Source organism: Homo sapiens, chromosome 4, assembly GCF_000001405.40.
Source record: "Homo sapiens chromosome 4, GRCh38.p14 Primary Assembly".
NCBI lineage: Eukaryota > Metazoa > Chordata > Mammalia > Primates > Hominidae > Homo > Homo sapiens.
The window spans coordinates 2,628,541-2,653,275 of NC_000004.12; the positions used below are offsets into that span (position 1 = coordinate 2,628,541).

Below are 24,735 nucleotides of genomic sequence, written 5' to 3' on the forward strand. Positions count from 1 at the left end.
GCAGGAGGAGCTCTTAAGCCCAGGAGTTCGGTGCTGCACTGAGCTAGGATCGCTCCACTGCACACCAGCCTGGGCAACAGAGTAAAATCCAAAGAAAAACACAAAAAAACAACAAAGTTAGGTTTCCTAGTGAGTATTAGGAAAAAATGTATAACCTTCACGTCAAACCCATGACTTCACAGCTTATTAACATTGCAACTTCAGTACTTTAGAGTAGCAGCCAGTGTGTAGTTGATGTGCCCGCATCTGTTGAATGTGTGTGTGAGTTAGCGAATGAGCTTCCTAGCTTCTTCAGCATATTGCTGTCTCTCTCTTTTTTTTTTTTTTTTTGAGACGGAGTCTCGCTCTGTCACCCAGGGTGGAGTGCAGTGGCGCAGTCTTGGCTCACTGCAAGCTCCGCCTGGCGGGTTCATGCCATTCTCCTGCCTCAGCCTCGCGAGTAGCTGGGACTACAGGCGCCTGACACCATGCCCGGCTAATTTTTTGTATTTTTAGTAGAGACAGGGTTTCACCGTGTTAGCCAGGATGGTCTCAATCTCGCCTCCCAAAGTGCTGGGATTATAGGCGTGAGCCACTGCACCCTGCCCCGCTGCCTTCTTTTTATATAACTTAAAAAAAAATCTGTTTGCAAAAGTATCACATGGTTATTTCCTTAAATTTATAAAATACAGAAATAGACAAAAAAAAAAAAGAGATCTAAGTCCGACATGCTAAGAGAACAGTGACGTGGGTGTCCAGTCTGCTTCTAAGTTTGGTTGTCTCTGTCAAAATTTGACCTTCTGTGGCTTTATTTTAATAGATGAAATGCATTCTGTTTCAGAGGACAGTTTTTTATACTAGTAGTTGAAATGACAGTTGTCATGCTCAAAAAATTAATGTCTGTCTGAAATATACTAACCATAATAGGAATCCCATCCATCTACACTATTTTTTTAATCCACATTTTCCATAAGGCTTCACATGTTCCATTGCAAGATTTTACTTGGCACTTGTCTTTTATAGCCTAGGTAATATGGCAATTTAAAAATAGAACAGGTGACAACTTTCTTTTCTTTTGACATAATATGGTATGTAGGTGAAAGGATTTACTATGTAAAATCCAGGAGCTGTAGTTTAATACATTTTACAACTCATTTCTGTTAGAGTGATGAACTCAAACTGGTTTCTCCTGGTGATGGGTTATGGACGAATTTTTATTATTACATCAGTGGTTTTAGGTTTCCATCTAGAGGCTCCTGGATTAAAATACAATTAAATTTAACCATAGCAATGCCAGTACTGTAGAATACGTTTTAAAATGTGCATTATCGGCCGGGTGCGGTGGCTCACGCCTGTAAGTCCCAGTACTTTGAGAGGCCAAGGCGGGCGGATCACAAGGTCAGGAGATCGGGACCATCCTGGCTAACATGGTGAAACCCCGTCTCTACTAAAAATACAAAAAATTAGCCGGGCGTGGTGGCGGGCACCTGTAGTCCCAGCTATTCGGGAGGCTGAGGCAGGAGAACTGTGTGAACCCAGGAGGTGGAGCTTGCAGTGAGCCGAGATCACACCATTGCACTCCAGCCTGGGCGACAGAGTGAGACTCCATCTCAAAAAAAAAAAAAAAATGTGGATTATCATACACATTTGTGTCAAAAATAATGGATTATCCCAAAGTTTGGCCTGAAATTCATGAAAATGCTCATTGCATTTGTGGCTTAGTCATGTTGCATGTATTTTTTTTTTCCTACTCTTCAGCCTACAAATTTTATTTTACACACCTTTATTGCTTTTTTGGTGGGATAATTGTTAAAAAAAAAAGATAAACTGTGTCTAAAGTTTCCTCTTTTGATAAGCCTAATACAAACCCATTTGGATTGTACACTGAACTTCTAGAAAGAAGGAAAGAGCAGGCTGCCGCAGATCTGCAGCCAGGTGGCACCTCTCCTGGGATCAGTGCTTTTTACTTGTTAACATATAAGCCTTTAAAAGAGTTGTCCCCAGCCTCGTGTCTGAGCATGTTGTCTGGGGCCAGCTGCTGAGAAGTGGTAGCGTGCTCTTCCAGCTGTGTGAGTTTACGCAAGTCACCCAACCTGTGTGGGCCAAAATGTCCCCTCTGTAAAGCAGGCACTGAACCCACACACAGCGAACTGAATTAGTGCACGTGCACGGACAGTGCTGTACAGAGAAAGCTCAATAAATGTCACTTGCTGTTCCCTAGTGACACTCTGTGCCCCGGATTCCCCATCCATTAGGTGGGGTGATTGTGCTTCTCACAGGTGGTTATGAGGAAGGTGACTGTGTGGTCATCTAGAGGTGGCCACCTGTGGAAGGGCTTCAGAAAAGATGCTCACTGACATCAGAGCACCCATGGGCCCTGGTGGGCAGGCCCTGGTGACCCTCTTCTCTGTGCAGGCTCTGCGAGAGGGACCCCTACCAGCTGTACCAGCGTCTGGAACAGCAAGCTCGAGAGTATGTGCTGGAGATGAAGGTCCGCCTGCTCCGGCAGCTGTCGGCTGCGGCCAAGGTGAAGGCACCATCTGGCCTGCAGGGCCCGCCGCAAGCGCACCAGTTCATCTCCCTCCTGCTTGAGGAGTACGGCGCCCTCTGCCAGGCCGCACGCTCCATCAGCACCTTCCTTGGCACTCTGGTAAGAGAGAAAACGTGTTTTTCTTTCTGTTTGGATGAGCTGAAGAGAAGCATGTGGCAAGAGGAAGCTTCTCACGCATGTGTGCCGACCTCGCTGTCACACCCCCACACACTGTGATAGGCCCCTCTTCTCTACGGGAGAGGACCTGTTTCCTCTCCTCTTTGTCTTTCCTCTGGACTTTGCCACTGGATAAAAGCATTGGGTGGATTGATAAGCAGGTGACACCTCATGGTAGTACTGTTTGGAGGACCTTGAGGCCCAGGGAACGAGGCATGGGGGCAGTGTGAGGGGAGCACTGATGTGTGCCTTTATAAGGAGACAGAGAAATCTCCGGTGTCTTACTTAGGTTGTTCATTCTTTCGTTGCTGTAGACAGAGCTGGTATTAGGTGAAATGCCCATGAAGAGCATGAAGGCTGTAGAGAACAGCTTGTTTACCGCCCAGTGGCGTTCATTCATTCATGCAGGCATGCATGCACTCAGCAAGCCAGCACTGAGTTAAGGATCTGCTTGCAGTCTCAAGACAGGCCCTATCACCATCCTTGCCAATGGGGATCTGACAGTCCTAACAAAAGAGACACACAGATGGGTCCGGTTGCCTCAAAAGAGGAATCACTACATTGGGTGGAAGGAGCATGGTATAGAAATATGGTTACAAGTAGGCTGCGGTCAATCCTCAACAGCCTCAGTGCCCCCACGCTTTGGAAGGAGACCAGAGACAAGCCCTCAAAGCTTCCTTGACTGTTACTAATAGTCTATGGAGTTTTTCATCACTTAAACTTTATTATTAAATAATACTTAACTGTATTTGGGTGCTAGTTTTGGGTGCTTTCTTTCTTTTAATAAAGAAAAGGAATTTATTTCTCATGGTTAGGAAGGCTGAGAAGTCTAAGTTTGAGGGGCCACATCTGGTGAGAGCTTTCTTGCAGGTGGGGACTTGGACTCTGAACAGAGTCCAAAGGTGGTACAGGGCATCACATGGCGAGAGGGCTGAGCATCAGTTTTGGGTGCTTTCTTAGTGGTAAACCTACATTTTGAAACAAATACAGTAAGCATTGGCCTTGGTCTTTATCTGATTCTCAAGTTGATGGACCCTCTTAGAAAAATTTACATACAGCCCGGGTGTGGTGGCTCATACCTGTAATCCTCGCACTTTGGGAAGCCAAAGTGGGAGGATCACTTGAGCCCAGGAGCTTGAGACTAGCCTAGGCAACATGGGGAGACCCCACCTATACCAAAAAAATTTAAAATTAAATTAACCAGGCGTGATGACGCATGCTACTCAAGAGGCTGTGAGGCAAGAGGATCATTTGAGCTCAGGGTTGAGGCTGTGGTGAGCCAGTGTACTCCAGCTTGGGAATAGAGTGAGATCCTATCTCAAAAAGAAAAGAAAAAATTACATACATGTAATTGTAAGTCATTTCAGGGGGTTCACAGACTTCCTCAAGCTTCACTGCGCCAAGCCATGGGGAGGTATCTATTCTGAGAAGAGGTAGCGAGGTGAATGGGTAGGGTGAGGGGTGGGGGTGGGGCAGGGGGGCAGTTATCCTGTTTCAAGGTCTGAGTCCACTGGGTAGTGCCACCAGGCTTCCTTCTGGTACCTCGTCCTTCCTCTGGCATCTCTCGCAGCACAGCCTCCCCGTCTCTACCTGAGAGTCTGCCTGCCCTTCAGAGGTTCAAATCCAGAGCCCCTCCTCTGTCTTCTACAAGAACACTGGCTCAGGTTAAGAAGGATGCTCTCCAGCCCACCTAAACCTGGTGCCCAGAGAGACTCTGGTAGTGAAGACAGCAGCTGTTGCTGCTCTCCAGAAAATGCTGGCGAGGTCTGCACCTCCTCAGATAGTTACTGTAGGATACTGTTTTATGAAGCTGACAAAAATTAATTTGAACCATATTTATTAGAGCAAATTCCTAGCAGTTGACATAGAAATAATTTCTTGTGGCTTGAGGCCGGGTGCGGTGGCTCACGCCTGTAATTCCAGCACTTTGGGAGGCCGAGGCAGGCAGATCACCTGAGGTCAGGAGTTCAAGACCAGCCTGGCCAATATGATGAAACCCCGTCTCTACTAAAAATAACAAAAATTAGCCGGGCATGGTGGCGGGCGCCTGTAGTCCCAGCTACTCGGGAGGCTGAGGCAGGAGAATCACTTGAACCCGGGAGGCAGAGGTTGCATTGAGCCAAGATTGTGCCAGTGCACTCCAGTCTGGGCAACAGAGCGAGACTCTGTCTCACACACAAAACAAAACAAAATAAAAAAGAAATAATTTCTTGTGGCTTGAAAAAAATGCATACACCCAGAAGCTGTTTGATTAGTGTCTTTTTTCACTTCCTTTACACATAGAAATACCCACATTGATTTCTAGGGGTCCAGCAGACTAGATACCCTTAACTATTCCTTCCTCCAAGGGAAACAACTGAATTTACTAGATAATAAAAAAATAAGCCAGGCGTGGTGGCTTACGGCTATAATCCCAGCACTTTGGGAGGCCGAGGTGGTTGGATCACCTGAGGTCAGGAGTTAGAGACCAGCCTGGCCAACGTGATGAAACCCCGTCTCTACTAAAAATGCAAAAAATTAGCCTGGCGTGGTGGCACGCGCCTATAATCCCAGCTACTTGGGAGGCTGAGGCAGGAGAATTGCTTGAACCTGGGAGGTGGAGGTTGCAGTGAGCCGAGATGGGGCCGCTGCACTCCAGCCTGGGCAACAAGAGCAAAACTCCGTCTCAAAAAAAAGATGAAATCTTTTAAAGTGTATGGCTGAGATGGCATGAAAGGGAGTAAGTCGTAGTGGTGAAAAACCAATTGAAAGCTGGAATCCTGAGAAATACATGGGCTTGAAAGTCAGCATTTGCTGTGGGTATTTCTTCTGATCCTGGGAGACAAGAGACAACCTAGCCCAGGATGGGGTCTGCACATAATGCTGGGACTGTAAGTGACGACACTAGTAAGGTTGAAGTGGAAACTCCGAGCACCGAAAGGGACAGCAGGGATCTGCAGCTCTCGTGGCCTTGGGGTGGAGATGCAGGGAGTACAGCTTCCCAGAGACTTGGTAGCTGTCAGCCAGCTGCCACATGAGCTGGAGTGTGAATAAATGTTGGTGTGGTATGAACAGCCCAAGCCTGGAAGTTACTTTACAGTGGTCCAGGATTGCTGGTAAAGTCAGGCAGCATGCAGATCACCTCTGGAAACCTTCAATCTGACCTCAGAGAATTCGAATAGATAAAATCCCCCCAAATGAGCAGCTCACAGTAAAAAAAGTCATAAAACACAAGGTTCATGACAGCACAGTTAAAAGCCAGCAGAAGCAGTAGACAGAATCACATAACAAAGATATTTAAATTTTCAAAAAAGAATATAGAGTAACTTTGTTAACTGTGCTTAAAGAAGCTTTGTAAAAGTTTGAAATTGGGAGTTAAGGATTAATACTCTAAAGAATGATAATTCAGATTTGAAAAAATATCAAAACTAGAAACAAAAACTTTTTTTAGAGATGATAGCTGAGAAATTCTCAGAATTACTGAAAAATACTAGTGTTCAGCAAGGAAACGTATCAGATTTCCCAAGTAAGATGTTGAAAAATCCTTCTCTGGTTATAGTATAATGACAGCTACAGAACATCAAAGAAAAAGTGATCTCAAACACAAAACACAGGACTTTGTTGAAAATGGTCTGTGAGATGTTATAATGTGTAATTCTGGATTCTGGGTAGAGACTACAATGAATCTATGTACTCCTTACCCAGATGCGCAGTTAATCAGCATTTTGCCACTCTGACTTCATTATGCCTTCTTTTTCTTCCACTTTCTCTTCCCTCTTTTTGATGCAGTATTTTAGTATGGGTCCCAGACAATGTGCTTTTTGTCTTAGAATATTCCAATAAGTGTCTCTAAAAATAGTCATCCATTATCTTCTGTAGCCACAGTTCCATTGTCACATCCATGAAGACTGACGGTAATAGTAATTTCTTACCGACTAATGCCAGCCAATCTCTTTTTATGGTTGGGTTATTCCAATCAGGACCCAAAAATCTTCACAAATTCATAGCCACATTATTACACTGCCATCCAGTGATCTATGCAGCACCAGCTTAAGATAAACTCGGTGTCTCAGGGCAGTAATTCTCAACAGTTTTGGACTTAGGCCCCTTTATACTTAAAAATTTAGGACCCCGAAGTGTGCTTTTTTATGCAGACTTACATCAGTACTTGCTGTATTGAAATTCAAACTGAGAAAATTTTTTAAATGCTTATTGTCATTTTAAAAATGTAAACTCTCATTAGATTACATAAATTGCATATTTTAACATATATTAGAGAATGTAACAAATAATACACTTTTACATTAGATAATGTAACATAAATTACATATGTAAAAATAACTATTTTCCAAAATAAAACATTGTTGCCCAGGCTGGAGTGCAGTGGTGAGATCTTGGCTCACTGAAACCTCTGCCTCCCCAGTTCAAGCGATTCTCCTGCCCCAGCCTCCCAAATAACTGGGATTACAGGTGCCTGCCACCACATCTGGCTAATTTTTTTGTATTTCTTTTAGTAGAGATGGGGTTTCACCATGTTGGCCAGGCTGGTCTCGAACTCCTGACCTCAGGTGATCTGCCCGCCTCGGCCTCCCAAAGTTTTGGGATTATGGGCGTGAGCCAGCGCACCCGGCCAACATATTTCTTAAGAAGAGTGGGTCACTCACACCTCTCCAGATCTCTCTGTAAAAGCAGTGGGAGTCTCATCTGCATTCAGTCTGTTGTCATAGGTTGTCTGGTTGAAGTTATTGAAGAAAATTCAACTTTTTACAGATAATGTAGTTGGAAAAAGGACGAATTTTTTTTTTTTTGAGACGGAGTCTTAGTTGGAAAAAGGAATAATTTGTCTTTTTGTGTTTTTTTTGAGACAGAGTCTCACTCTGTCTCAAAAAAAAATCTCGCTCTGTCTCGCTGTGTCCCTCATGATCTCGGCTCACTGCAACCTCTGCTTCCTGGGTTCAAGTGATTCTCCTGCCTCAGCCTCCCGAGTAGCTGGAACTACAGGTGGGTGCCACCACGCCAGGCTAATTTTTTGTATTTTTAGTAGAGTCGGGGTTTCACTGTGTTAGCCAGGATGGTCTCGATCTCCTGACCTCGTGATTCGCCTGCCTTAGCCTCCCAAAGTGCTGGAATTACAGCCGTGAGCCACCGTGCCCTGCCAGGAAGAATATTTTAATAGCCTCTTCAAATCCTGATAGATCTTCTCTGAGAGTACACCAACGCGGGAGAGTTTCTTAATGGTTAGTTGCGATGTAGAGTCTGAAACTGTATCACTGAACTTACCCTACTCTGTTCCGTTAAAATCCACAGGCTCCAGCTCACCCCATGAATGGATTCTCTACTTATACATGGTTTGCTAGTGTCATTCATAGGTCATTTTGCAAATATTGATTCACTGAGTATCTTCTGGATGTTGACAGTTTTATTAATATAAAAAATGATATTTGTTTATATCAGCACTGATCTCATCAGAAAGCTCTTTAAATGTGTAGGATCTTTCAAGCCAACAGCAGCAAATGCAAATTTTCTAAAGTTTTCTTTTTTGCTTGAAAGCTTAGATTTTATGATTAGCCACAGATTGTGTCACTTGTTTTCTTTGAAGCAACATGTTAATTTGCTGTGCAAACTCTGCCAGCTAGTTAGCTCTTCTGAACAGCACCCCCATTCTACTTGTTTTTGCTGAACTCACTGGATACTCTTGGACATAGAAAGGTATTCTCAGAAATGCAACTTTACTGGAGAATGCCCTCACGTGAGGTTTATTCCACACTGCCTGGGGGATCAAACAGGATAATGAGTCATATTTTTTGTATTTACTTTAAATATTAAAGTAAAATTGGGGGAGTGGGCATGGTGGCCCACACCTGTAATCCCAGCACTTTGGGAGGCCAAGGTGGGTGGATTACTTGAGCCCAGGAGTTCAAGACCAGCCTGGGCAACATGGTGAGATCCCGTCTCTACAGAAGATACAAAAATTAGCTGAGCGTGATAGTGTACACCTGTAGTCCCAGCCACTCCGGAGGCTGAGGCAAGAGGATTGCTTGAGCCTGGGAGGCGGAGGTTGCAGTGAGCCAAGATTACACCACTGCACTCCAGCCTGGGCGACAGAGTGAGACCCTGTCTCAGTCAATTGACCAATCACTCAATATTTTTTTAAAAGAAATCTAAAAAATAAAATAAAATTGTCACTAGGCTTAAGTTATGCTTCTAGTCATCTAGGAAACACCTCACCAGGCTATAATAGTGAAGTCTAAATTTTCATCGACAAAGACAGAAAGATCTCAAATGTCCCGTTATTTCAGTCTATTGTAGGAACTACATTCTAAACATCTTCTCTTCCTTCTTTCAAACCCCCAAACCTTTTTTGTAGTGGGAAGTGAGAACAGTTTGCAGAGCCTGCCCTTAGGTCACTGACAAGCCTTTCTGCCTCTAGCTCAGCAGTTCTTCCATAGGCCTCACCTCTCGTAGGAGCTGTGAGGACACATCCTGCAGAGCCCACCCCTGCATGCCCCGGTCCAGTTATTTGAGCCCCTCTATGCTGGTTCCACGCCTGTCGATGGGGCATGGGCAGGGCACTACCAGGTTCACAGGGAACTTACTGGAGGCATTGAATTCAGCGCTAAGGACAGTGCCTGGCCATGCTAGGCACTCAGGTGTTAACATGTGTTCCTTAAGTAAACTCCAAGTTGATTTCCGGTTGTGAAGTGAGTCTGATATCTGTTTGTCTTGCATGCCTCACCTAGAGGTGTAATTTTAGGTTTTATTAAAAATGCCAAATATCTTCATAAATTAGCCTTCACCCAGTGACCATTAGCAACTGGCCCAGAAAGCCAGACTTGTGATTCCACTCATAGACAGGCAGGTGGAAATGGCTATCCCAGAGGTTTCCAAGGGAGGCCAGGCAAAGCCTCAGCTCTTCCAGGAGGCCCCTCCCTCAGCTAGTTGCCAACCTGGTCTGATCCAGGTGCTGCATTCACTCTCATGTACTCTTTGTCTTGTAGCTGAATCGTAAGTCAGGTCACTGCCTACTCTTCTGTTCCCCGGGAACTCCTGGAGAGCAGCGGACTATTGTAGCAGGAGGTAGTCTTCGTGTCCTCGTACCTGGCACAGGGCCTGGGCAGCATGGGCTTGGCATTTCACCTGCTTATTATTACAAGCACATTTGTGGGTTCCAGCCTGGGGCTGGGTATCAGTTACCTGGCCCTGGTCTCCTGCCACGTGCATTTTTCCTGTACCGAGTGTGCTTGCTCTGAGATAATGCTTGGTGTGAAACAGGAGTGATGATGTTTCAATCTGGGAGGCACTGGTGAAAACACGATGAGGAAAAGTACTGGAAATGTTAACAAAACGGAAGGTTTTAGATTTTCTGCAGATGGCATAGATTCATTGCTGAATCTCTCAATTCTTGTGTTTCCAGGTATGAAAACAGAGCTGTATCCAGCAAGGCTGGCACACAGTGGTCTAGCAGTATCACTGGTGTGCTCTCTCCAAATGTGTTTATAGGTGTTTACTTTCAATCATTATAATCATTATAATTTGTTCTCTCAGCCCCCATACCAACTAGGGTTATTAGGTGACATAACAGTGAAATCTTTGTGTCGTTCATTTGCTAAGGTCTCCATCAACTCAGCTTGGCTATATTGTAAACAGGAGCAGACCTCTAAACCCAGTCCCTGTGAGTGACCCGACTCAGGAGACGTGGAGTAGCCAAGCATGATGAAGTGCAGCTTCCAGAGCTGGCGGTTGTTGAAGTCAGGAACATTCACCCAAAGATGTAACGTGATCTGAACACAAGTAGTGTCCGTGTAGTTGACAGAGGGAAGCATGGATTCACACACGCATGGTTGTAGCAAGACTTATTAAATGTGAACATTACATTTAGGAAAGGTAATAATGGCATCAACCTCAGTGATCTTGTGTTGGGGGCTTGCTGTACATCTCTGCTGACATCACTCTCTATGATGACTGGGACACTTCTAGGTTTTCGTGGTATTATCTAAAGTAATTGACAAGTTTGCCTACATTTATTAGGAAGACAAAAAACCTTAACTCTGATAGGGTCTTGCAAGTGGAGAAATTGTGTGTATTAATTAGAATGGAAGGTTTCTCCAAATAGGTAAGAAAATTGTTATCCTTTAGCATCGAGGGACTTGATGTATCTAAACTGTTTGAACTGTAAGGGCTTTCATTACATTTTAAAAGTATAATTGTGAGAAATGACTCTCAAACGTGCAGTTACTGCTTTGTCTCTGTGCACACCTGTCACCCTGTCTTTGCAGCCCTTCTAAACTTGCCATTTTAGAGGGGAGATGTGCTGAAATCCATGTCCGTGTAGTCAGAGTTCTGATGCACTGTGTGCCTTGAGACATACAGGGAGCAGCACTTCTCATAAGCTGAACACTCTGGGCCTGTGAAGAGGGATGTGTGCGTGGTGGGGGGAAATGGGGAGGGGGGAGGGAATCCCTCTGGGAATTTTCTAGTCTTTAGCAATTCACTACATCTTCTGTTTATCTTTTACTTTTTCTTAACCAGGAAAATGAACACTTGAAAAAGTTCCAAGTGACGTGGGAACTGCATAATAAACACCTGTTTGAAAATCTGGTCTTTTCGGAGCCACTTCTTCAGAGCAACTTGCCCGCACTGGTGTCACAGATCAGGTATTTTGCCTTAACCCGTATGTGTCTTTGTGGTGTGACAGCACAGTCTTTTCTCCTGACTGGTGTGCGTGTACCCGAGTACCACTGAGTATGAAAGTTCTTGCAGGAAAAATAACAGGGCTTAAAGAAAAAGATAGTTTGGGCCAAAAGCTCAAAACCTGAGAAGCAATACAATTAAACTTTTAAATGATAAGTCAATATAAATGCTACTAAGATTTAACACCACAAATTCCTCATACAGAAAAGCTACAGTAAATATAGCACTTTTCCTTGACAAGACCTATCCTTGGCCGGGCAGCTGTGGTGTGGTTCATGCTATGGCTCTTGGACATGTAGGGGAAATGGAGGAGGGAAGAGGCCCAGGTCTGAGGGTGCCCAAGGCCCTCCGGATACAGCTTGGTGTTTCCCACACATTCCGTTGCTACCCGAGGCTCTGTTGCTCTGTCTCCTGGTGTAGCGCATCCATGTGGCTTCTTCACGCTTGGGAAGCTGGCTGGGTTCTATGCTTTCACTGAGAAAAAGGGGTGCAGAGTGCAGCAGTCACTCACTGAGTATTTGCTCGGGGTCAGAGTGAGAAGATTTAGGCTGGGCATGTGTTTGCCCTGTGGTACCATGTTCAGTTAGAAGGCATGTTCCTCCTGATGTGACGTTACTCAGCAGAACGCTGTTCCCTGCACTGAGTCATGCATGAGCTACCACAGGTCTGCAGTTTGGTGATTTTGTTCTTTGGTGTTTTATTCTATTTACCACATGTGAGCACATTCCCATAATACAGACCCATCGTGACAGCAGCCATCTACATTTGACCACGTTAACCTATACTTAGGGGTGTGGTGGCTCACGCCTGTAATTCCAACACTTTGGGAGGCCTTAAGCAGGCGGATCACCTGAGGTCAGGAGTTTGAGACCAGCCTTGCCAACATGGTAAAACCCCGTCTCTACTAAAAATATAAAAATTAGCCGGGCTTGGTGGCACATACCTGTGATCCTGGCTACTTGGGAGTCTGAGGCAAGAGAATTGCTTGAACCCCAGAGGCAGAGGTTGCAGTGAGCCAAGAGTGCACCACTGCACTCTAGCCTGGGTGATAGAGCGAGATGCTGTCTCGGGGGAAAAAAAGTCGTTAGCTTCACAAAGCAAGGGAATAAATTGTTGTTCTGTTGACTACACCAGTTATTGCTATTTTATTTATTTTATTTTTGAGACAGTGTCTTGCTCTGTCACCCAGGCTGGAGTGCAGTGGCACAATCTCAGCTCACTGCAACCTCCACCTCCCAGGTTCAAGCGATTCTCCTGCCTCAGCCTTCTGAGTAGCTGGGATTGGGATTACAGGCTTGCACCACCACGCCTGGCTAATTTTTGTATTTTTAGTAGAGACGGGGTTTCACCATGTTGGCCAGGGTGGTCTTGAACTCCTGACGTCAAGTGATCCACCTGCCTCAGCCTCCCAAAGTGCTAGGATTACAGGCATGACCCACCATGCCCAATCTGCTTTTTTTCTCTTAAAATCCGTATATTAGGACTGGTACGGTGGCTCACACCTGTAATCCCAGCACTTTGGGAGGCCGAGGCGGGCAGATCACGAGGTCAGATCAAGACCATCCTGGCTAACACGGTGAAACCTCGTCTCTACTAAAAATACAAAAAATTAGCCGGGCGTAGTGGCGCATGCCTGTAGTCCCAGCTACTTGGGAGGCTGAGGCAGAAGAATGGCGTGAACCCAGGAGGCGGAGTTTGCAGTGAGCTGAAATCGTGCCACTGCACTCCATCCTGGACCACAGAGCGAGACTCCATCTGAAAACAAAATACAAAAACAAACAAACAAAAAGAATACGTGTATTGACCCAGTCTTTGTTTCCTGTATTCCCAAATTTTATTTGAGGGGTCCTGACCATCTCCACTTCATAACCTTACCTCTAGAGAAAGCAATTAGGTAAAAGAGAATTGAGGACAAAAAGATCAGAAGCTACACGTGCTGGCTCATGCCTCTAGCCCCGGCTACTTGGGAGGCTGAGGCAGGAGGATTGCTTAAGCCTAGGAGCTGGAGACCAGACTGGGTAACAGCGAGACCCCATCTCTTAAAAAAGAAAAAAAAAGGGCCAGGTGCGGTGGCTCATGCCTGTAATGCCAGCACTTTGGGAGGTCGAGGCGGGCCAGGTGCAGTGGCTCATGCCTGTAATGCCAGCACTTTGGGAGGTCGAGGCGGGCAGATCATGAGGTCAGGAGATCGAAACCATCCTGGCTAACATGGTGAAACCCCGTCTCTACTAAAAATACAAAAAAAAAAAAAAAAAAAATTAGCTGGGCATGGTGGCGGGCACCTGAAGTCCCAGCTACCCGGGAGGCTGAGGCAGGAGAATGGCGTGAACCTGGGAGCGGAGGTTGCAGTGAGCCGAGATCACGCCACTACACTCCAGCCTGGGGGACAGAGCGAGACTCCATCTCAAAAAAACACACAAAAAAATCAGAACAAGGTGTTACGGGGCGTGTGGCCAGCTGGCAGGTGGGCTGCAGACCCTTCCAGTGTTCCCTGTGCCCTGGCCTGCTCCTTAGCCATTCCTTCCCTTCTGTGGCCACTGTGTATCAAGATTGGAAAGTCCTTACTCTGACCCTTGCAGAAGAAAAGGCATCGGAAGAGAATTCACAGTGGTGAATCTGGAATGTGGAGTAGGCTTTGTCCCTGGTTATGACGTTCAGATTCATCAAAAGCACTTTTCATGAGAAGATATGCATCTTGGGAGAGGGGCTCTGAAAACAAGATTCCAGGGAATCTACCTTAAAAAAAAATATTTTACTGGTAAGCCAGTGAGTTCCGTCAGCCTGTCAGACTGTGGGTGGGTGACTGAAACCGGAAGTGCATCATAAAACTCCCATCTTTTTTTTTTTTTTTTTGGAGACAGAGTCTTGTTCTGTCGCCCAGGCTGGAGTGCAGTGGTGAGATCTTGGCTCACTGCAAGCTCTGCCTCTCAGGTTCATGCCATTCTCCTGCCTCAGCCTCCCGAGTAGCTGGGACTACAGGCGCCCGCCACCACACCCGGCTAATTTTTTTTTGTATTTTTAGTAGAGACGGGGTTTCACCGTGAAAACTCCCATCTTTTTCTGTGCCCTAGTTCTGGATTTTCCGTTTGCTCATTGGGTATGATGGTCAGACTCCAACCATGAGCCACGTCTCTAGTGTGGATGCTGGATCTCAAGCTGCAGTCTCACTTCTCACTTTTGGGACCCACAGGCAGTTGAGGGAGAAGGATAAACACAGACAGGGACAGAATGAGGCCAACCAGCACGTTCCCTGAGCAGCACTGACGACGCCAGGACACGCCATGCCTTTGTGCTCTGCAGCTGACTCCCTTGTCAGCCTGAGACTAATTCAAGATAATTCAGATTTGCATTGCTAATGTACAGATACGCATTTAACAATTCATAAAAATTTTGCTACTGATTACATACAAACACCCCTTAAAGCTTCTGCATCCTATGAAATACATATGGTACAATTCACCCACTTAAAATGTACAATTCAATGACTTTTGATATATTTCATTTTTTAAAAATTATGGTAAAGTATATATAACATAAAGCTTACCATTTTAACTAGTGTATATTTCAATAACATTAATTATATTCATAGTGTTTATAACCATTACCACCATGTACTTTAAAATTTTTTCCTCACCCGAAACAGTAACTCTACCATTAAACAGTAACTCTCCATTGTCCCCTTCTTTTTTCCCCATAGCCTTTGAAAGTCTGTAATGGGCAGTTTCCTTCCCTTGACTCCCCACCATTTTTTGTCTTAAAATGTATCTATGAAAGAACTAGGCCATCTGTCCTGGGGGTGCTTTGGTCTGGATCCTGCGTGGGCGTGTTCACAGAGCAGTTTGGCCACCTCCATCCTCTGTCCTGCCTGAGAATTGGTGGTAGGATCTGAAGGTTCTGGACGGCTCTGCTCAGATCCCCTGGCAGGCCAAGGCGTAGGCGGGGGGTGTTTCTATCAGGGGGTGCATCCCTCAGGCCTGCTTCTCTTTGTTGTGGGTATCAGTAGCCCAATGTGGGCTTCACTTTAAATATGTATTAATTAGGCTAATAAAACTTACCCAAACCAATGTTATTTCATTCTCTTTATCAATAATAATGTTTCACATACACATTGGTAACATTACAGTAAGCATATTTTCATGCTGCTGTCTTGTATTTGCAAGCTCAATATTTAGATGGAAACCTGTTTGCTGAGCCATTGATTTAATTCAACCCTGTGGATAGTCCCTGTGACTCTTTTGATCCTAGCACAGCTTTGCTTGCAGGGAAGCCCTGTGCCTGCAGATTGCTTTTCAATTATACCAACAAAGATATCCACAAACCCCCTCCCCCACCCACTTTGCTCTCCCTTGGCTCAAAATAATCTGAATTCTATAACTTGGAAGAGATAAATTCTTACTTCCAGGAGGAGCGGGACAAGGAACACATGACAGGGTATAATGCCGCATCCCAACGTTCCAGGTGGAGCAAGTAGGGGCAGGATGGAATTGGGTAGAAGCTGGATTCTGTGTGAAGAATGGAAACCAGTCACGGAAGAGCAAGGCTGGCAGAGAAGAAGTGGGAGAAAAACTACTTCACGGGCTGCAGTGTGGCAGATCCCTGGCGCCACTGGAGTCCATGTCTTAAGGAGTTTTGTCTCCTGAGGGGCAGAAACAGCCTTAGGAGAACAGCTTTGATGTTTTGAAGTAGCCTCAATCCATGTGCGTCAGTATTGTTTCTTTCCTTTGGGCTTCCCTAAATGACTGCCCAGTTACACCTAACCTCTGCTGCCTTCCCTGGAGAGACTGCAATAGGTGAGTGCACAGATGGCTTCAGTAGCTGCAAGGTTCCCAGGTGCGATTTACCTGAGGGTGGAGATAGGTCAGAGGAGAAGAGGGAGTCATTCCTGCCCATTTCACCCATGAAAAGATCCTAATTTCCACATAGCTTGTTTATTATAAAATCATTAGATTGTCATTACAAATAAAATTATGAAAATATAGAAAATCGTAAACAAAGTTAGGTTTTATAAATAATTTAGTATTTCTTATACATTTTTTCCCTATGTCCACTATACGTATTTTTAAACATGCTGTAGTCATATCTTTAGTTACCATGAGCATATTTCCATTTCAAAATATATATGTGTATATATACATGAATGTGTGTGTGTGTGTGTGTGTGTGTGTGAATGGGTAGACATAATTATAAAATTGGTAACAAGTATCTGGTTACCAAGTACTGATTCTCCTAGATGTGCCATGATGCATTTGGTAGCTTCTAGTGTTTTTATGTAAATAGTGCTGATCCTTAACCTTGCGCAGAATCTTTGTGCTCTTGATATATTATAAACATGGTATTTGATTCTAAGCCATCCTTGTCAAGATGTCTTTATTCCACTTATTTTGGCTCACACTGATAGACTTAGGTATTAGGAACATGAATTTTTTCTGGTAATAATCTACATGTGTCTCCACACCACTCCCCGTCCTCCTCCTGACCCCAGCCCCCAGCCTTCTGTCTCCCAATCGCCATCTTGCTCAGTCTTTTCAGAAATCGAGGTGTTTTTTCTCACTGTCCACCTGCATGTGTGTCTTTTGTTTCCCATTTATTTTCTCATTTTCCATCTTGCCATCTTTCTTTTTTTTTCTTTCTTTTTTTCTTTTTTTATTGAGGCATAGTTTCACCCTGTCTCCCAGGCTGGAGTGCAGTGGCGCGATCTCGGCTCACCCCAACCTCTGCCTCCCAGGTTCAAGCGATTCTTCTGTCTCAGCCTCCTGAGTAGCTGGGATTACAGGCATGTGCCACCACACCCAGCTAATTTTTGTATTTTTTGTAGAGACAGGGTTTCTCCATGTTGGCCAGGCTGGTCTTGAACTCCCGACCTCAGGTGATCCCCTCGCCTAGGCCTCCCAAAGTGCTGGGATTACAGGCGTGAGCCACTGCACCTGACCGCCGTCTTTCTTAATACAATATAATATAGTAGACAGAAAACTGTAACTATATTTCTTCAAGTAAATCAGATTTTGTTTTGCTTTATTTGAAAACCAGATCTAAATTTTATGTCTCATTAAGTGTTTTGTTTTCTCTGAGCCAGTTGTATTTTCAAGAGTAAAATAACTTTGTATTCCCATATTTATTTTTTTATCATTTTTATTTTTATCTATTTTAATTTTTTCTTTGCAATTCCATATTTGGTAAACTGAATTGTTAAGTCATAGTCTTTAGAGACATGTTGTTCAGTGCTCATTTTTTTCTTAGAAGCTGTTGTTTCTTTGAGCATCTCCTTTTTTTTTTTTTTTTTTTTTTTTTTTTGAGACAGATTCTCGCTCTGTTGCCCAGGCTGGAGTGCAATGGTGTGATTTCGGCTCACTGCAACCTCCGCCTCCCGGGTTCAAGCGATTCTCCTGTCTCAGCCTCCTGAGTAGCTGGGGCTATGAGTGCCTGCCACCACACCCGGCTAATTTTTTTGTATTTTTAGTAGAGATGGGGTTTCACCATATTGGTCATGCTGGTCTCGATCTCCCGACCTCAGGTGATCCACCCACCTCAGTCTCCCAAAGTGCTAGGATTACAGGTGTGAGCCACTGTGCCCAGCTGAGCATCTCCTTTTTACAAGTCTGTCCTGGGTGCCTTGCATGGGGATCTGTTGATCCCTCACAGCTCCCTGCTGTGGTGCAGAGTGGCACCCTGTTTTCCACGTTGGGAGGCGAGATGACAAAGCAGGATAGTATCAGCAGGAAGCACATTTCTGATCTCTGCTTCAGAGCCTTTGGGTTCTTTCCTTTGTTACAAGGCCTTCTCTCTCCTAGGCTAGGAACCACCACACACGACACCTGCAGTGAGGACACATACAGTACCTTGCTGCAGAGGTACCAGCGTTCCGAGGAGGAGCTGCGCAGAGTCGCCGAGGAGTGGCTGGAGTGCCAGAAGAGGATCGACGCCTATGTCGACGAGCAGGTGAGTGCCACCCGGGACCACCGCACCCCGCGCACATCCTCAGACGGCCCTGTTGAAGGCAGCACCAAGTCACTAGCTTTGTCCTGAGCTGCAAGCCAGGAATTCCCGACTGAGGCCCAGAGGCGCATGTGGGTAGCCCCTGTGTGTTAGCTGCTGGTTTTCCGGAAGGGATGGGAAACCTGTTGGCATCACAGATGGCTTGGGCCTCCTGGGCCTGAGGTGTGGTGGCAGCAGTTGGTCAAGTTTTCCTTGGCCTGGGCACACCTGCTGTCACTCACACGGGCTGTCACCAGGCTCTGCACCCCAGGTAGGAGGTTTTTCTTTTTTTTTGAGATGGAGTTTTGCTCTTGTTGCCCAGGCTGGAGTGCAATGGTGAGATCTGGGCTCACCCCAACCTCCGCCTCCCGGGTTCAAGTGATTCTCCTGCCTCAGCCTCCCGAGTAGCTGGGATTACAGGCATGCACCAACCATGCCTGGCTAGTTTTGTATTTTTAGTAGAGACAGGGTTTCTCCATGTTGGTCAGGCTGGTCTCGAACTCCCGACCTCAGGTGGTTTCCCTGCCTCAGCCTCCCAAAGTGTTGGGATTACAGGAGTGAGCCACCACGCCTGGTCCAGGTAGGAGGTTTTTTAAGTCCAGGAGCTGTTTACTGAGCACTCTGCTGTTGAGAGCTCATTGTCCATCTGTCCTAGTCTAGAAGGGAGTGCAGACACATGCACAGGTGGCAGGTGGCTCACCAGGTGGAAGACAGAAGAGGGAGGGCACCTGCTGGAGGTGGATCTGAAGGGAGGGCACTCAGGCAGCCCAAGCCTGTCAGACAGAGCAGGGCTTTGAGACGGCGCCCCCTCCCCCCGCTTCCCACCCCTGGCCTGCCTGCTCTCCTAAAGCAGGGTTGGGCCAGGAAGGAATTGAGAGCGGCCCTGGTTTAAAGATGACACTAGTGTGAGCAAGGGTAAAGAAGGAATGACTGAGTTTCTCTTTTGCACTTCGGAGACTCTCTGTAGGAAAATGGAACCTGGGCTCTAGCCTAAGACATGTGCTGGTTCCATGTCTGCCCTGGCATGGTGAGTGCCATGTGGATGCCACCTGTGGCTCCTTGTCAGTGTTCCTTGTCAGTGCTGTGAGGGACTGGGAAGAAGGAAGGGACTAGCATGTGCTTGCTCCCTCCGAGAATTGTGTCATTGATTTCACAGCTACAGGCCGTGTTTTCTGTTGCTGTTCTCTACTGCAGCCACAGGGACTAGAGCTACAAATGGTCTGTTGTTTGGATTTTCGCGGGTTTTCTCTTACTCCATTCTTCTGCATTCTCAGCCTCCCAAAGTACTGGGATTACATTTGTGAGCCACTGCGCCTGGCCTGCTGGCTTTTTTTGAACCTGCATCAGCTTCAGTGGAGTAAGTTCCAACTTCGTCACATGCGGAATTCTGTGCTGTTGAGCTTGTCTTAGGGCAGGTGGCCCTGAGACTCTCCCATGACTCTGCGCCTCTTCCTTGGCTGCTGTACGCACAGCACGTCAGGGTGAGGAGGGGCCTCAGAGATCACTTTGGTCCTGGGAGACTCCCTCTGTGTCCTGTGCCTCATGGTGGGGCCTGAGAGAGCAGTTGCTGTTTTGTGTTTTCTTCAAAGTGGGTGTATTCCTAATTCATGTTTTTGTCTGTTTTTGCAACCAGAGACTTTCCTGCTGTGGCTTGTCACTGACCAGCGACTTCTTAGCCTGGACTACTGTGAGAGCAGGGTCTGGATGCCAGGTGGGGAGGGCAGAGTCTCCTGCTGCAGCAGCACCTCAGCAGCCTTCATCTCGTGAGGCCTGGAGCATCCCAGGGGCTGCAGCTGTGCCATGTGGGGGCAGCACAGCAGAGAGGGCGCTGAAAGCTGCATTCCCCTCTGCCATCTGTGGGTGCACCAGCCCATTTTCACAAGTTTGCTGTTCTGGTAGAGGGAGCAGGAGTTGGGGGAAGCTAGGACAGTGGGCATTAACCTTCTCCAGGAAGTGGGCATCTTCGGCAGAGGCTCTTCAGGGCTGTGGCCGTGCAGGAGGGCCAGTAGTGTGTCCAGGTCACCACTCCCTGGGATGTTCTTGACTTGGGTCCCAGGGAGAACCCTGCACGGCAGTCAACACCAGAATGTCCCGGATCTGCCCCATGAGTCTTTTCCCTCCCTACCTGCAAAATGAGATAATTATGTTAGGTGATGTTTTAGTGTTGTGTGAGCTTTTAATTCCAAATAAGTTTTTTCTGTGTTATTTTTAAAAAGTAAAACTGGCCAGGTGCAGTGGCTCACACCTATAATTTCAGCACTTTGGGAGGCTAAGGTGGGAGGATCACTTGAGCCCAGGAGTTTGAGACCAGCCTGGGCAACATAGTGAGACCTTGTCTCTACAAAAAATTAAAAAATTAGCCAGGCTGGGTGCCGTGTGTTTGTGGTTCCGGCCACTCCAGAGAGTGAGTGGGGGAGGATCACTTAAGACCAAGAGTTAGAGGCTGCAGTGATCTATGATGGTGCCACTGCACTGCAGCCTGGGTGACAGAGTGAGACCCTGTCTGAAAAAAAAAAAAAAAAAGCCAGGCTTAGTGGCTCACACCTGTATTCCTAGCACTTTGGGAGGCTGAGGCAGGTGGATTACTTGAGCCCAGAAGTTTGAGATCAGCCTGGGTGACATAGATAGACCTTGTCTCTACAAAAATACAAAAATTAGCCTGCCATGGTAGTGTGCACTTGTGGTTTCAGCTACTCGGGAGGCTGAGATGGGAGGATCACTTGAGCCTAGGAGGTTGAGGCTGTGGTGAGCTATGATCATGCCACCACACTCCATCCTGGGCAACAGTGAGACCCTATCTCAAAAAATGAAAAAAATATATAGGCATAGGGACAGTAAATAGTCCCTGTGTTGGTATTGCACTGTGGGCTGCTGGTTACTGGGTGCCCCACAGAGCAGGGGTCCCTAACCCTTGGGTCACAGACCAGTACTAGTCCATGGCCTGTTAGGAACCAGGCTGCACAGCAGGAGGTGAGTGGCCGGTGAGCCAGTGAAGCCTGTCAGTGTTTATAGCCACTCCCTATTGCTTGCATTACCGCCTGAACTTCTCATGTCCGATCAGCAGAGACATTAGATCCTCACAGAAGCATGAACCCTATTGTGAACTGCGTGTGCAAGGGATCTAGATTGTACGCTCCTCATGAGAATCTAATGCCTGATGATCTGTCACTGTCTCCCATCACCCCTAGATGGGACCATCTAGTTGAAGGAAAACAAGCTCAGGGCTCCCACTAATTGTGCATTGTGGTGAGTTGTATAATTATTTCATTCTATATGACAGTGTAATAATAATAGAAACAAAGTGCACAATAAATGTGATGAGCTTGAATCATCCCAGAACCATCCCCTTGCCTCACCTGGTCTGTGGAAAAGTTGTCTTCCATGAAATCGGTCCCTGGTCCTAAAAAGGTTGGGGACCACTGCTCTAGAGCACATCCCATGGCACCCACGCAGGGTGGTTTATTGAGAGCACAGAAGGAGGGAGGAGCATGAGATCTCAGGCCATCAGTAGACACTGTGAAGGAAAGACCTTGAGAAGGAAAACAGAAGGCGAGGGGCCGGCTTTCCTGCCCGGCTCACTCTCGTCACCGGGGCTCAAGGGAACGAAGCGCACCTGCTCTGGCCTCACGGGTGCGGTAGGGGAAGCCAAGACCACCCTGGCTGGGGGCAGAGATGGGAGCTCAGGGCTCTGAAGCCCAGGGAGAGGCTGCTGTGCAGGGCGGGGTTTCAAGACTCCCAGAGAGGCTGCTTGTGGGAAGCACGTGAAAGGCTCCTTAATCCAAGAGTGTCTCTGTTGACGACATAGTGCCACCTGCTAAGTCTCTGTCTTGCCAACATGAGCTGCAGTCAAGTTGTATTGCATTAGGTCATTGAAACCTCCCAAGTGCATAGGACCCTGCCTACCTTTACCAAGGACCGCATAAAAAAAGAGGAGCCCCAAGCACCTTCTGGGTAGGCATGGATAGCCGCCCACGGTACACTCTAATGGCAGCAACGGTATTTGCCTTTGGCCCAGAGAACGCTGTCTCAGGGCCCTCCTCCACAGTCTTGTTAGTGTTTGTAGCAGTAACAGACGTGCAGATGGAGAAGCTGAGTGTTGGTGAATCCACTGGAGGGTGGCATCAGACCTGGAGGGGTGTGTGTATCAGTCCATTTTCACACTGCTATAAAGAACTACCTGAGACCGGGCTTGATACTCACCCCTGTAATCCCAGCACTTAGGGAGGCCAAGGTGGGCGGATCACCTGAGGTCGGGAGTTCAAGACCAGCCTGGCCAGCATGGAGAAACCCCGTCTCTACTAAAAATACAAAATTAGCCGAGCGTGGTGGCACATGCCTGTAATCTCACCTACTCAGGAGGCTGAGGCAGGAGAGTCACTTGAACCTGGGAGGCAGAGGTTGGGGTGAGCTGAGATCATGCCATTGCACTCCAGCCTAGGCAACAAGAGTGAAACTCTGTCTCAAAAAAAAACCAATAAAACAAAAAACCTACCTGATTCTGGGTAATTTATAAAGAACAGAGATTTCATTGATTCACAGTTCCGCATGGCTGGGGAGGCCTTAGGAAACTTATAATCATGGCGGAAGGAGAAGAAGAGGCAAGGCACGTCTTACACAGTGGCAGGAGAGAGAGAGCAAGAGGGGAAATGCCACACTTCTGAGCCATCACATCTTGTGAGAACTCGCTATCATGAGAACAGCATGGGGGAAATCCGCCCCCATGATCCCATCACCTCCCACCAGGTTCCTCCCCTGACATGTGGGGATTACAGTTTGACATGAGATTTGGGTGGGGACAAAGGTGAACCATATCAATGTGACAGGTTGACATGACGTCACGGCAGACGTGGAAGGTCCTGTAATCAGGGTGTGGTAGCAGCCTCGCTGCCTGTCCTCAGGACAGCTCTGACCAGACTGGATCCCCCTGGCAGGGAAGCATAAGAGGTTGCTGGCCTGAGTCGTCAAGAAGTGACCATTGTGAAGCAGACATTCAGCTCGTCCCAGACAGCCCCCAGGAGGAGAGTCCAGACCCCGTGTAGATGTGTGTGATCAGAAAGAGTCCCTTGCAAGGGTCGTTCGAAGGCAGAGTGGGCTGTAGTGTGGAGATGAGTTCCCCATGATAGGGAATGTGGAGAATAGTTGGAGAGGTATTTGGACTAGGTGACCATGAGGTCTCATCTCAGATTTCATTTCAGGGACACATCTGTCCCTGACTGGGGCTGGTGGCCTCTGTGCCTGGTATTCATTGTTTACCAGGGATTTGCAGAGTACCCTTCATGGGAGGCACTTGTCTGCAAGTCTAAGTGCAAATCAGCCTTGCCTGTCAACAAAGATGACTTGGGTGTGTCGGTGCTTCCTGTCCTGGTGTTGAACAGGAGACGCTGGCCTATTGCAGAGAAGCTTTGAGTCTGGAAGCTTTTCTGAATGGAACTCCCACCTCCCTTTCTCCTGCATTTGGTGTTTTTCTTCTGTAGGATTGATGCTGTTCACTTGATTTATCCCTGGTGTATTAGTCCATTCTTGCATTGCTATAAAGAAATACCTGAGACTGGATAATTTATAAAGAAAAGCAGTTTAATTGGCTCACGGTTCTGTGGCTGTGTAGGAAGCATGGCTGGGAGGCCTCGGGAAACTTACAATCATGGTGGAAGGTGAAGGGGAAGCCAGCACATCTTACGTGGCTGGAGTAGGAGGAAGGGGGGTGGGGAGGTGCTACACACTTTTAAACAACCAGATCTTCTGAGCACTCGCTATCACGAGAACAGCACCTTCGGGGAAATCTGCCCCCATGATCTGATCACCTCCCACCAGGCCCCATCTCCAACAATGGGGATTACAGTTTGACATGAGATTTGGGCGGGGACACAAATCTAAGCCATATCACCTGGCTTTCCCTTCATGTATCGATATAAGTTTCTGAGGTTGTGAATAACTTGTAACCTTCAGGTGACTTCAGAAAAATAGTATAGTTAGTGATAACATAGGGAAAAAGATGAAAGAGAAGGAAGATGAACCGTTACCGAGTGCTGTGCCAAACCCCGTGTGGCTAGAGCCTCACTACTGCTTCCTGGTGTTACCACATCTGCAGATGACAGGAGGCTCCCGAGGGTCTCAGCCAGGCAGGCCTGTTGGGGTTTAGGTCAGCGGTGTCCTACGTAGCATAACATCCTGCCCCTAAGAGCCTGGGGTGCTGTCCTTAGTTCCACATGTGATGGAAATGGCAGATAAAGTTCTAGTTTCAGAGATTCATTTCTCCAATTGAACTGTAACTAAACACAAAAATGCCCTTAGGGAAATTCTTTTACTAAGACTGAAAAATCCTTTGGGAATAGTAATTTCTTCAGGTATCTGTTTCTTGAAGGTAAACATTTATTTTGAAATATTATATATGGTATTATTGCTGTTGT

At 46.7% G+C, this 24,735-nt stretch overlaps 1 protein-coding gene across 14 annotated transcripts in view, besides 3 other annotated features; it reads left to right on the forward strand.

Annotated features, from left to right (window-relative positions):
- Window positions 1–24,735, forward strand: part of FAM193A (family with sequence similarity 193 member A) — a 197,199-nt gene that overhangs the window by 93,166 nt on the left and 79,298 nt on the right. For 10 of the 14 annotated variants that reach the window (NR_046336.2, NR_046335.2, NM_001366316.2 and 7 more), the window contains 3 exons: window positions 2,395–2,629; window positions 11,195–11,319; window positions 18,145–18,292. Coding sequence is in view for 11 of the 14 variants with exons in the window: in NM_001366316.2 (NP_001353245.1) it covers window positions 2,395–2,629; window positions 11,195–11,319; window positions 18,145–18,292 (508 nt within the window). In the remaining 3 variants the exon portion in view is untranslated. Of the gene's footprint in view, window positions 1–2,394; window positions 2,630–10,365; window positions 10,550–11,194; window positions 11,320–18,144; window positions 18,293–19,961; window positions 20,040–24,735 lie in introns of those variants that run through there. The other 4 variants (XM_011513590.3, XM_047416342.1, XM_047416344.1 and 1 more) reach the window with 2 other exon arrangements.
- Window positions 1,952–2,453: an enhancer, noted in NCBI's record as "H3K4me1 hESC enhancer chr4:2632219-2632720 (GRCh37/hg19 assembly coordinates)". NCBI's record gives its function as "activates a minimal SCP1, AML or CMV promoter by ChIP-STARR-seq in naive H9 embryonic stem cells {active_cell/tissue: H9 hESC(naive)}" and the evidence as "EXISTENCE:reporter gene assay evidence [ECO:0000049][PMID:30033119]".
- Window positions 2,454–2,953: an enhancer, noted in NCBI's record as "H3K4me1 hESC enhancer chr4:2632721-2633220 (GRCh37/hg19 assembly coordinates)". NCBI's record gives its function as "activates a minimal SCP1, AML or CMV promoter by ChIP-STARR-seq in naive H9 embryonic stem cells {active_cell/tissue: H9 hESC(naive)}" and the evidence as "EXISTENCE:reporter gene assay evidence [ECO:0000049][PMID:30033119]".
- Window positions 18,276–18,776: an enhancer, noted in NCBI's record as "H3K4me1 hESC enhancer chr4:2648543-2649043 (GRCh37/hg19 assembly coordinates)". NCBI's record gives its function as "activates a minimal SCP1, AML or CMV promoter by ChIP-STARR-seq in naive H9 embryonic stem cells {active_cell/tissue: H9 hESC(naive)}" and the evidence as "EXISTENCE:reporter gene assay evidence [ECO:0000049][PMID:30033119]".